This window comes from Homo sapiens, chromosome 6 (genome assembly GCF_000001405.40).
Source record: "Homo sapiens chromosome 6, GRCh38.p14 Primary Assembly".
NCBI classification, from domain to species: Eukaryota; Metazoa; Chordata; class Mammalia; order Primates; family Hominidae; genus Homo; species Homo sapiens.
In genome coordinates, this window is record NC_000006.12 from 137,652,367 (window position 1) to 137,664,956 (window position 12,590).

Here is a 12,590-nt window from a genome sequence, read left to right on the forward strand (position 1 = left end):
TGATTGAAGACCTTTCAGTTATTTGGCCTACAAAGTGACTCACCAAGACAGCCAAGTATAAAGGGGTCCCCGGAGAAATTCCAACTGGCCTGTGCACTGTGAGGAGTGTGCACTGGGGCGGAGCCTCAGGAAGTTTGCGCCATTTGCAGGGGAGGAAGAGCCTGGCTGGCCTCTCCTGATCCAGTGTGATAACCTGGGGACTCAGTCTGTGAGATGGGGAGCCTCTCTCACTTTGCTGAGTTTTTTTCCTTTTCACCCAATAAAACACTACCCTCCTCACCCTTCAAACTGTCTGTGAGATTAATTTTTCTTGGTCATGTGGCAAGGACGCTGTCTTTAGCTCAACTAAGGAAAAAGTCCTACAACAGCTTTGGTGCCCAGAACATAGGGCTTGAGAAGGGGTGAGTGAAATGGGGACTCAAAACCTCTCACATTCGCTTCTGAGCCTTTTGGTCCTATGGCATTCCTCTTCTTTTTTTCAGGACATTAATGACATGAAAACTTTTTTTTTTTTTACAATACTGGAGGTGGTTCACACACACCCCAATGGCCACAGGCATGTGTATGGGACAGTTGGGTGGGGCAGCTCCCTGCTCCCCATTCTCTACTGTCTGGGGTGCATGGCTGAGTCTGCCGCATGTATGCACAGTGTCCAACAGCCATTAACAATGGAATGAGCCAAGGGTGGGAATGAGCCACAGCAGCTGCCTGAGCCCCAAGGGATCCCATGCAGCTGGCGGTATTCCCTGCCAGGCACCCATGGAGTCTCCCCCTCCCCCAGCCAGGGAGTCCAACCCCATCAGACAGCAATTAAGCTTCTCTCTAGGGTGGAGGAACTATTTGCATAAGAATAAGAGGTTTTTCCCCCAGGCATCCCTTTTTCTTCTCCACTCCATCAGCAGTTAACTTTTAAATGAGTTTATTTTTCCTTTTAGAAGACATTTTCTTAGGCTAGGAATGATAAGGATCATTATCATAATTTAGTCCACCTATTTATGTGGACTAATTATGTTTATATTCTCTGTAAAGTTTTAATTGTGAAAAAGGATTTGTGAGGTTGGTCTTAAGCTGTAGCCAATGTGGTATGCTTTGCATGTCTGTGTGGTCAGTAGCAAACTTTGCTGCACACCTCCATCTTGTTTTATGTCCTGAGGGCATATGTCCTGAGGGTGTGGCCTGTAACCACATGGCAAGGCTTTGTTTAGCAATCCTGCCTAGGGAATGAGTCCTTTCTGGTTTGATATCTGCACATTTTCCTAGCCCTGTCTCTTAAAGGGCTCCACCCAGCGACTGGGTTTTCTTCTGCCTGTCTGTGTAGCTATATATGTGTTATGTATATGATGTCTGTAAAAAGAGCTCTAATTAATTTGGCCTAAAGGAAGACAAGCACTTGAATCAAGTATTTTTTTAAGGGAAGATAAAAGCTGTGGTAACTTTCAGTTCAAGCGACTTTAATCTTTGAGAAATAAGGCAGTCGTAAAGGTTATTGGTAAAATGCAGATGTCATCAAAATATAAATAGGTGGACTAAATTATGCAGGTTAGATACTAGAGTTGCTAAATGTTTTAAGGTTATAAACTGCCTTTTTGGTTTTTGAGAATGTTTCAATTTGTCAGCTTCACAATTGGTAATGCCAGGGGACATATGAAACTAACCACACCCTTAATTACGCTGGAAGAAGTCAAACCTTGGCTGCACCTAGCACACAATTAAAACAACTTACCAGGTTTTACATTAAAGTTAAAAACTGCTAGGAGTTACCATTATAACATATAATTGAAACTATTGGAAATAGATTTACATGCAAAGTGTGTGAAAACAGTAAAATGTGTTTTTAGTAAAAGATTATAAAAAGGCACGAAATTGTAAATTTTTGCCTAGGAGTAAAGGATTGTTTTGAATTAGACAAGATAAAGCTAAAGGTTAAAACAAGTGGTGGAAGGATTGTGGACATTAATCTTACAGAATAGTTTCTCTGTGTGAACATATTGACTAAATTCAAAAAAGTTATTCTGTAAATTGAGCATTGAAATAAAAGCACAACAAGGTATTCTTAAGGTGCTAATCTGCTCTTTAGCAAAATTTGTAAAGGTTTATAAAAGGCTTTTGCCTCTTTAAAATTTCTGAGTCATCATTTTGGCAAAATAAATAATTTATGGTGACCTGGAATACTGTTTTATAACATCAAGTGTTTTAAACCTCTAACAAATTTAACAGGCTTCCCAAAAATCAAACTTTGGTTCCGAAATTGTCTTTCCTGACTCCTGGCTTTTCAGATACTTCAGAGGGCCCCTGGAGTGTCCAGAAAAGAGAGGTAAACATGTTTAGGTACATGGGACTGCCAAAATGATGTTCAATATACTTTAGGTAATATTTTTGTGAGTAATGCTAGCATATGCTCAAAATTATATGGGATTTCTACAATTCTAATGTCTGAGTATATGCTATCAATCATAATTAAGGTTGGTATGTTAGGTTATTGTAAATCACAGAGATAACCAAACTTCTTTGTCAATTGTGTTTCTAACTGTAACTACCCTGGACATTTTGTTATTCACAGACAATGGTTGTCTTGTTTTAATGCTTTTCAAAAGATGGTTTATACTGAGCTATAGAACTTTGACAGGTCCTCTCAAATACAGGTTTCTGATAACTTTGGAGATTGTAACATTGGAATAAAGGAAAAATGTACATGACTCATGAAGAGCTGAAGTGTTCATGAATATCAAGCAAAACTAGAACTAATGGACTGAACTCAAAACTGAAACAATCTTTTTAACTTTTGTTGGAATATTGCTGATCCCCGTTTTGTTTTTCAGGGTTAAGAAAACTTATTTTGAAGTATTTACAGCCTTTAATAACTGAGTAAGCTATACTCCTGTGAACAAAATTTGGAGCCTATTTGTCTCTCTCTCTCTCTGCCTGGTTCCTCTAGAATTTGGAAACTATCTGTGAGTATTCTTAACTTATGGCAATATAGTTGTTTGCATCAGTGCAGTAAGAATCCATTTTTCTTTTGCAACAGGATGCAAGTGGAGAAACCAGTTGTTTTACCAAGGGTTTGATTATAAGGGTATGCTTCTCTTTGAGGAGTCAAGCTTGACTTGCAGAGCTGATAAAACCCCGCAGGAAAAACTGTCCTCATACCCTTGTCTACGCAGTCCCTGTACAGGGTTCCTGACCTGTGATCAGTAAAGAATGTCACTTTCTAACTGGCCAAGGATCTCCAAGTTTATCTTGGGACCTTAAGAGGAATGGATCACCCAACTCACAGTTATTTGTGGATATAAAACCATGGTTGGGCTTGGCTTTAAAAGATATCATCTGAGATTCCTTGTGGAACAGAATTCCATCAAAGCCAATCTAAAAGGTCTATGTAGAAATAGTTATTCTTGCTGCAATTTATGCAAATAATCAGGCCATATATAAAACTAAAGTCTATTTTTGCAAACAACTCAGTCCTATCAGACACAGTGCAGGTGAGCATGGCTAATTCCTGCCGATTAAGCCAAGCCTTCCATTTCATGGATAAGGATCATGCTAGTATCCATGGTATAAATGGGGTCTAGTGAATTCCAAGGCTGCTGATGTAGGGGAAAAAGAGACATAGATAAAAGCAGATAATTCCTATTCTCTAGGCCTTCCCTTCTTCATGAGTGTAAGCTGCTTTGGCACCAATGGGCAGCACCTGCCAAGGTTGCTGGGACTTGGGGATGCAAGGATGGAGGAGGGAAAGAGGATGTTCTTCTTTTTCTCCCTCATGTATCCTGGTATTTGCTAGGAAAAGAAGGGAACCAGGGACACCTGTTCTGCTCTTTCTAGGTGGGTAGCCATTCATCTTCAGTCTGTATCCCTTTCAAATGCATCTTGAATCCGTGGGACTCCTTTGGAAAAAAATGCTTTCTTCTTTCCTTTTTCCTCCTCTGTCCTCTCCTCATTGATGGGTAATTGTGTCTCTGTACTATGGGACACTCCCCTCAAATGCATTCTCCAAACTGGGGAAAGTTAATTTCCCAAACCTCAAACTGGTTGGCTTAGGACAGGGCTCAGGTGAAGGGAACCCAGAAGCCCAACATGCTGGCAAAAGGGTAAAGTTTTTTTCACCAGTTGGGCTTTTGGCCTCCCGCTCCCTGTGCAAACTGGTAAAAGGCCTCAGAATTTTTAAGTTGTCCTTAACCCGCCCCCCGGCCCCGGCCTTGTTTTATTTTGATACATATTTTCTAATAATCCAGTTTTTCTCTTCTCCCCTTCAGTCCATCAAACTCCAAATGGTCATGCAACTGGAGCCTTGGACAATGGCCCATTCTGCCAGGCTCCCTTAGATAGGCCTCTGAGGGAGCTCTGATGGCCATTTTCCCCAAAACAATGTCCCTTGTCAGTAGAAAGCAGTTAAGATTGGTCTTTGATCTTATCCTTCTTTTAAAGGCAGTTAGATGTACTTCTTCAGAGGGGGAATGAGACAGCCAAATAGGAGAGGGACCCAGAAAAACTCCAACCGGTCTGCACACTGGGAGGAGTGCGCACTGGCATGGAGCTTCAGGAAGTTCACGCTGTTTGCAAGAGGGGAGCCTGGCCTCTCCTCATCCGGTGTGGCAACCTGGGTATTCAATCTGAGATGGGGCCTGTTAACAGGAACCTCTCTCTCTTTGCTGAGTTTTTTTCCTTTCCACCAAAAAAACCCTGCCCTCCTCAAATTGTCTGCAAGCCTAATTTTTTGTGTTCATGTGACAAGGACCCTGTCTTTAGCTGAACTAAGGAAAAATTCCTACAACAGCGCCATCCCCAAATTCCTGGGTTTGGCTGGTGATAAGAGGACATCAGAAAGGACATCAGAAACATAAGTGATAGCAATATAACTTTCTGGAATAAAACACTTTCCAGTACAATAAGTAGGCTTTCCCAAGTCTTTGTTATACCACAGTGGCCTATAAGGTTTCTTGTTGTTGCCCTCAGCTCCTGGAAGAACAGAATCATTCTTGTCAGCTTTGCTTGTAATTCTTTCTCATTATGTCAGTTAGAAAGACAGGTGCTGTTTTAGTCAGTTGCTGGATGTGGCTGGATGTGGCTGAGAATCAGCTGAGATGGTTGCAAAGAGCCCTCAACTCAAAAATATATGCAGGTGACTCATGACCCTGGTCACTCTCTAGCTTCTGGAAGAATTTGGTGGATCTGTTTCTTTGCATGTAAAACAAAGAAAAATGATACTTGCATACTTCTCTGAACTTTCTCAGAAAGTTCTGAGAAAAGTGACTTCATAGTAAGATATTTTGAATTTGGTATGGAGGTGGTCCACCTGTTCATAAAAGAAGAAAGATTGTACAGATAACACATTTCGTCTTGATGTTGGAATTTCTATCTGACTCATTATTTAGCTTTGTATTCATAGTTTTGGTTCAAATGTTTACTTAGCATGCAATTATGAGCTTAAGGTGTCAGGAAGGCTACCACCCAGAATAAGCTAAGACTTGAAAAGGATACAAAACTCAATATTAGGAAAATGTGAAGGGAAATTACAATGGGGGTTTTAAGTTTTATTTGAGCAAGAAGAACAAGGAAGCAATTTGCCTACTGCCTGGAGCAAGTGAGGTAATGTTGACAGATATCAGACAGAAAGCAGATCATCCCCAGTTCAGTATTTTCTGTAGAGAAGGCTGTTCAGAGAGAGAAAGGTAAGTCAATGGAAATCCAAGATTTGTTGGGAATTTTTGGAAAATATAACACTAATCAAATGGAGCCTATCAAATGTAGTCAGTTCTCTGTGGCTCAGGCACATTAGAGTGAAAACAGAGAGAAGTGGTTTCTTAACTGCCAAAAATGATCTTTTAGTAGCACATAGAGCAAGGGAGATACTCAAAAAAGAAAAAAAGTAGCACATAACATATTGATTTGGACTCTGCAGACTATAGATCAGCAAGACTGATATTGGTATTAGATAAAATTCTAGGGAAATGTATTAAAAGGATGGTCTGTGATGTAATGACATGGTGACCCTGGGGAGACATAATGATTTCTGGGAGGGAGCATCTGGTTCATTAGAGCACGTGCATCTGGACAGTGCTCATTGCCTTGACTGATGGGTTTACTGGAGAAGTAACAGCAGTGAATAGAGATTTAGCATGGCATTGACCTAGAGTCCCATGACATCCTTGCAGACAGTGGGGAAAATATGCCTATGTTGATGGGTATGAGTTGCTTGCACTGATGTAGCTCTAACATGCAGGTTAAAGGATCCTGGTTGGAGGTCTCTCATGGTCAGACTCAGCACTGAGACTCCCTCCTGTTCCACATTTTCACAGCTAACTGAAGGGGATTTATATGGTACAGAGATCACATCTGTGGGTGCTGATGAAAAGCTGACATTTGCGGTAGGAAGGAGGCTATACATATAGAAAAAATTTTACACCAGTGTGACAGAATTAGAATCCTCAAAGGGCTTTTACAGACTAGCGTGACGGACCCAATCTAATCTGTTGTCTAGGTCTCAGTTTTCTCAGCTGTGAAATGGGGGATCGTGAGATTATCATTCCCATAGGATTGCTGTGGAGATTCAATAAAATAATGGATTAAATGACAATGCATTTAGCCCCACACATAGGCCATGTTTAGCGCTCAGCTATTATTTTCTTTGATACAACTACTAATATAGTTACAGGCAATAAGTAAAACCAAACAAAAGGAAAAACCAAAAAACTCCAGACTTAGAGTCAAAGATCAGCTTCACATATACAAAACCAGGAAGGTGTAACTTAATGGAAATTCATGGGACAAATATCTAAGTGTTTGGACTGACCTTAAGCTCCATGTGAGCCAGAGTGTATCTAACTGTCACTAACATTGCATGTGTGACTTGGATTGCCTACCAGAATTTGTGTCTAGAACAAGAAAAGTAGCAATTTCATTTGCCTATTTGAAGCTCTTTCCAAGGGACCTCTCACCAGAGGGTCCAAGTCCAGAGCTGGGCCACTAACCTTCAGGGAGTCTCATCCCTGGCTGCAAATTAGAATCACCTGGGGAGCTTAGATGACTACCAATGTCTCTGAGCCCTAACCCAAAACAACTAAATCAGAACCCTAGCCACTGCTTTAAATTAAATATTGACCATTAGGAGCTTTTCCTTTAGAAATGTATCCAGGACAGTGATGGGATTTGAAACTCAGCTATCTAAAAAGTGATTATGCAAATATCCAGGATTTATTTAAGAAAGGTGGATGTGTGCCATTAAACAACTGAAGGGCTGAGATGTAGAAGCTAAGATTTACTTTTCCTGTTTTGAAAGGGCAGAACTTGGACACTGCATGAATTAAAGGAAAATAGATAGGTATTAATTTAAAAATAATATTCCAAACTACTAAATTTGCTAGAAAATTAAACGAGTTGTTTTGAGAAATAATTAAATTCCTATGATTGCTGGTGTTCAATGTTTTCCTGACTACTTTCCAGGTATGTTATAGAAGGAAATTGTATGCATAAAAGGAGGCCTTTATGTTTCAATCAGTTAATACCTTTATGATTTTATTAAAAATTCTTATTCTTTTAGCTGATGAAATTGACCACATTCACCAAGCTGTCGAGGGGCAGGCATTGGTAGTTTTTAAAGGCTCGTCAGGTGCCTTGCCACCTCCCAGCAATGTTCTGGTTCCTGACTCCACCTGATTCCCAGAACCCTAGTGATAAGAATGCTGTATGATTAACCAGGGGGTTGTGGAAAACAATCCTCTATGCTCCATTCACACTGTACCTGGGAAAGACTTTAAACAGTTAAGGTAACAAAACCTAGAGATCTAGACAACAGTGTGTGACACAGAATCCTGGAATCCTTGGGAATTTTCTTTGTTTTGACTATTCCAATCTCTAACAGGCCGATTGAATTCTGTTAAAAAAAAAAAACTTTGTGGTAAAAGTCTTCAACATATCACAAAAGATTTTTGATCCTCAGTCAATTACCCATTTATTTGAAAACAGTCAATACAATTGAATTCCAGTGAAATAAAAGGAGTTGGATAGTCCCTTGGAGGTTGTGACAATAGAGGGTTAAATTTTTACTCTGGGGCTCAAAGTCCAGAATACCATCTGCTTAGTCCACCTCTTTCTGTTCCTATTTTTAATGCATTGTTCTTTCTGAACATGAATAACATTTCTGTGCTAATAAATCTGCATTGCTGCAGGTAAATGATTATTAGTTCATCAAAAGGGAGAAAAAGCACCTTAGCAAAGAAGAGAGTTTTATTTCATCCAGGTTATTCATTATTGATCAGAAAACAAGAGCTATCCCATTAATTCTGTGAAATTCCAACTGATCTCTTTGTTTCACCGCCAAAGACTGAGAGGGAGAAGGGCCTTTCCTTTCAACCTTAATCTCAGTCTCAAGTCAATTTGTTTTTAAATTTTAGGAAAAGCCTTTTCAGTCATTAATTGATCTAGTGAATTGGCGGGGGGTGGGGTGGGGCTCTGTTTCCACCTCATTACTCAACATCTTTGTTTTTCTATGTGTTTTCTTTCATTAAACATAACTGTGAAAAGAATTGACTGGTTTTGACCAATGTGGTATGCTATAAAGAATATTAAAATATACCTTCATTATTTGGTTTAGGTTAGATCATTTTGAATCAAAATGGATCCAGAGAAGAGTTTTTAGACCTATAACATTTTGGGTGTTTAACAAATATTTGTTGGGTTAGTGAATAATTCCCATAACATTAAACACAATATAAAAAATTACTGGAGGCAGGGTCTCACTCTGTTGCCCAGGCTGGAGTGCACAAGCACAATCATAGCTCACTACAGACTTGAACTCCTGGGCTCGAGTGATCCTCCCACCTCAGCCTCCCAAGTAGCTAGAACTACAGGCTCACACCACCATGCCCGGCTAACTTTTATTGTTTTGTGGAGATGGTGTCTTGATATGTTGCCCAAGCTGTTCTCAAACCCCTGGCCTCCCAAAGGACTGGGCAAAAAATTATCGTTATTATTATTATTATTATTATTTTGAGGCAGAGTCTCGCTCTGTCGCCAGGCTGAAGTGCAGTGGCACGATCTTGGCTCACTGCAACCTCTGCCTCCCAGGTTCCAGCGATTCTCCTGCCTCAGCCTCATGAGCAGCTGGGACAACAGGCCCGCACCACCACGCCCAGCTAATTTTTGTGTTTTTAGTAGAGGCGGGGTTTCACCATTTTGGCCAGGATGATCTCGATCTCTTGACCTTGTGATCAACCCACCTTGGCCTCCCAAAATGCTGGGATTACAGGAGTGAGCCACCTCGCCTGGCCAAAAAATTATTTTTATATCCACATTTGTCTATGTGATTCACTTTATCCAAGATGAGTTCTACGATTTTGTGGTCTATGCTGTTAGTTGCCTTCCCTTGATCCCTTCTCTCATTTCTCAGGTGCTAACAAAACCCCAATTTTGTTAGGGCAGGGATGTCCCCAGGAAAACATGCTAGCCACTAGGTGGAGCCGGGAGATACAGGTCTAGCCAATGAGAAGAAACCTTAACCTGCTGAAAGCTTCAGAGAAAGCTTTCGGATTTCTTATTAAAGGGGAATTGATAAGGCGCCACCTGTCCCATTTTTCCTGTCTTGAACCCACAACTCAAGCATTCATGTTGTGAAGATGGGGAAAGGGTAAGCAAACTGCAGAGACATTGGCCCTGCCGTGGAAGATCTGCTATTTAGAAAAAAAGTCACAACCCATGATACATGCAGCAGATATGTAGTCTCTAGTAGGCTTGAGGTACTGTTTTGTCCAGAGGCAGGTAACCAAGAAGCTGATGCTTAAATTGTGTTTTCAGTCAAATGAAAGAAGAACATCTTGAATTTATACAATGACTGGGAGAAGGCTTAATGTGTTCTTAGAATTGTAACTCCTATTTGGAGAGATTGCAAAAAGGAGCACCAGGGACAGAACCCTTGGAAGGGCCACAGGTAAGGGGAAGCTAATAATGAAATGAAAACCAAATGCATGCCCCCGTTCTATGCAACTACTGACTTTCTTCCTACAAATGTTAGTTCAAGCCTAAAAGAAATGTGATTAAACTCGAGAAAAAGAAATAACAAAAATTAAATATTTTACTTCTTTATCCTTTTTTCAATTAATAATGTATGAAATGGCCAAGTGCGGTGGCTCACACCTGCAATCCCAGCACTTTGTAAGGCCAAGGTGGGCAGATCACCTGAGGTCAGGAGCTCAAGACCAGCCTGGCCAACATGGTGAAACCCCATCTCTACTAAAAATACAAAGATTAGCCAGGCGTGGTGGTGTGCACCTGTAATCCCAGCTACTTGGGAGGCTGAGGCAGGAGAATCACTTGAACCCAGGAGGTGGAAGTTGCAGTGAGCCAAGATCATACACCACTGCACTCCAACCTGGGTGATAAAGTGAGACTCCATCTCAAGTACTACTACTAATAATATTAATAATGATAATAATAACGTATGAAGCAATATTCAACTGGCAGTAAAGATTGTAGCTGGGTTCTCATCTGGTTGACTCAATGCTTCTATTTCTCTTGATTTCCTTTTCTGATCATTCTATAATCTTTTAGTAGGGAGATGAAATAAGTTCTTTGTTATTGATGATTCATTTAAAGAATCACATTTAATTTCTCTAAAGCAGCAGTGAGCAAACTTTTTCTGCAAAGGATAAATATTTTAGGCTTTGTGGGACACAAGCTCTCGTTGCAACTATTCCACTTTACCGATGTACTGGGAAAGCAGCTCTAGACAATGTATAAATGACTAGGTGTGGTTGTTTTAATAAAATTTTATTTACCAAAACAGGCAAAGAACTAAACATGACCCATGAGTCCAGTTTGTTAACCGCTACTCTAAAGTAACATTAATGTGAAGTTCCAACTATCTGTGTTGGATTAAGCTACTTAGTCCACACTTAAGACATGAGAATCAGTAATTATAGACTCTTAAATTTTTCAAGTTGGAGGGAAACTGACTCAGTAAGAATAAGAAACACACCCTCATTGACAGCAGAGCCAGGCGTGGAATCTGGGGATTTGGGAATCCCAACTGAGTTGCCTCTTCACAGCCATCATTCATTCTACTATTAAAAAAAAATTGTAATGTATAGAAAAATGAGCATGTGATGCCTAATTTCAAAATTCCTTAGGGCTTTTTAAGGAAATATCTTTGTTATATTAAATAGTAAATATTTATGCATGATATTAATGTTAGAAGTTTTTATTGTGATCTTTGTTTTTGTGTTCTAAGAGATTTTATAGGTTAAACACACACAATGTTGTTTAATTGATGCCATCTTTCATTAGGCAGAGCTTACTACCATTTGCAAATTTAATGCTTCTTTCATGACTGAACTGAAGCCTAAAGTTGTAAATAGTGATGTGCAAGGGCCAGCACAGTTCCCATCCTGTCTTCCAGAGAACCTTACATGCATCCCAAAGCCCGGGAGAGAGCAGTCACATCGAGGGTGCATTGCTCATCAGAGTCTTGGGGCCTTCTGGGCAGCGGTTAACCTGGATCTCAAAGAGAAAACTCCTATTTCCAGTATAAAAAGAAGGCAGTATAGGTGGGTGGCTAAGCTGATGAGTGAAAAGCAAGAAAAGAGTGGTATTGAACCTCTGGGTACTGAACAAAACAATGTGGCTATTTGGTTCTAGGCAAAAAGAAAGAGCCAAATGACATTTATGCTCATTTCCTGCTTCCAAACTTACCATGCCCATCCTCAGTACTCAGTCCTTCAGGGCGACATCCCTTCCAAGCTAACAGTTTTACCACTGCCGTCTGTTGGATAGAAACTAAATTTCATCATGATATCTTCTTACAGGACAATTTAAGTAAATCAGAAAGGTTGGAACTAAGCTCTAGTCCCAGTGGGCTCCCAACCACCCATTCAAAGCCAAAGTTCTTGAGAATGACATTTTTTCCCCACATGGGCAATTGGGAACATTGATGGTTACTGTGATTCTAAAATCAGTGTGTCCTGCTTATGTAATAGATGATATAAAAACAGTGCTACGTCAGTGATTTCCAAACTTTCTTTTTTGGTAGCGAGTCATATTCAAACAAAATCTTGAATACGCTGTTCAGTTTGAAGTCAGGACCCATTTCAGCCCCACAGCAGTTCCTGCAGCCTCTCCACAGAAACAAAGCACCGAACAAAGGCCAGTGTGGAAAAACGTACTCAATGGAATTTCTGTGTTTAGAGAAACCCTAGAGAGGATACTTTGTGAATTTCTTTTTCTGTTTAAAAACTTTTTTTTATAAATTGATCTCCAAATCATGAAGCACTTTTCTCCCTCCAAATTTTCGTGTCAATTTTATCATTTCCACAGACAAAAGTTCTGCCAAATTTCTGCAGCTCAGTGAGCCACAATATTATCAGTATTTAGTGTTCCTATCATTCTGGAAGGTGTAGAAGTTAGAGGAATATATACTTGTCCACACAAGGTGGTCTCTGGGGCTGTCTTCTAAAGCCTACCAAGTGCTCATTCATTACTTATTTAAAGATATAGTGTTTTGACACCTGATGGGCTTAAAATTAAATGATTTTCTTGTTTCCCAATAGGGTGTCTATCTCTTGGGGGCAGACCTACTATAAGCAAGAATCAACATTTTTTAA

At 40.1% G+C, this 12,590-nt stretch overlaps 1 annotated feature.

Annotated features, from left to right (window-relative positions):
- Nucleotides 579-1,095: an enhancer, noted in NCBI's record as "NANOG hESC enhancer chr6:137974082-137974598 (GRCh37/hg19 assembly coordinates)". NCBI's record gives its function as "activates a minimal SCP1, AML or CMV promoter by ChIP-STARR-seq in primed H9 embryonic stem cells {active_cell/tissue: H9 hESC(primed)}" and the evidence as "EXISTENCE:reporter gene assay evidence [ECO:0000049][PMID:30033119]".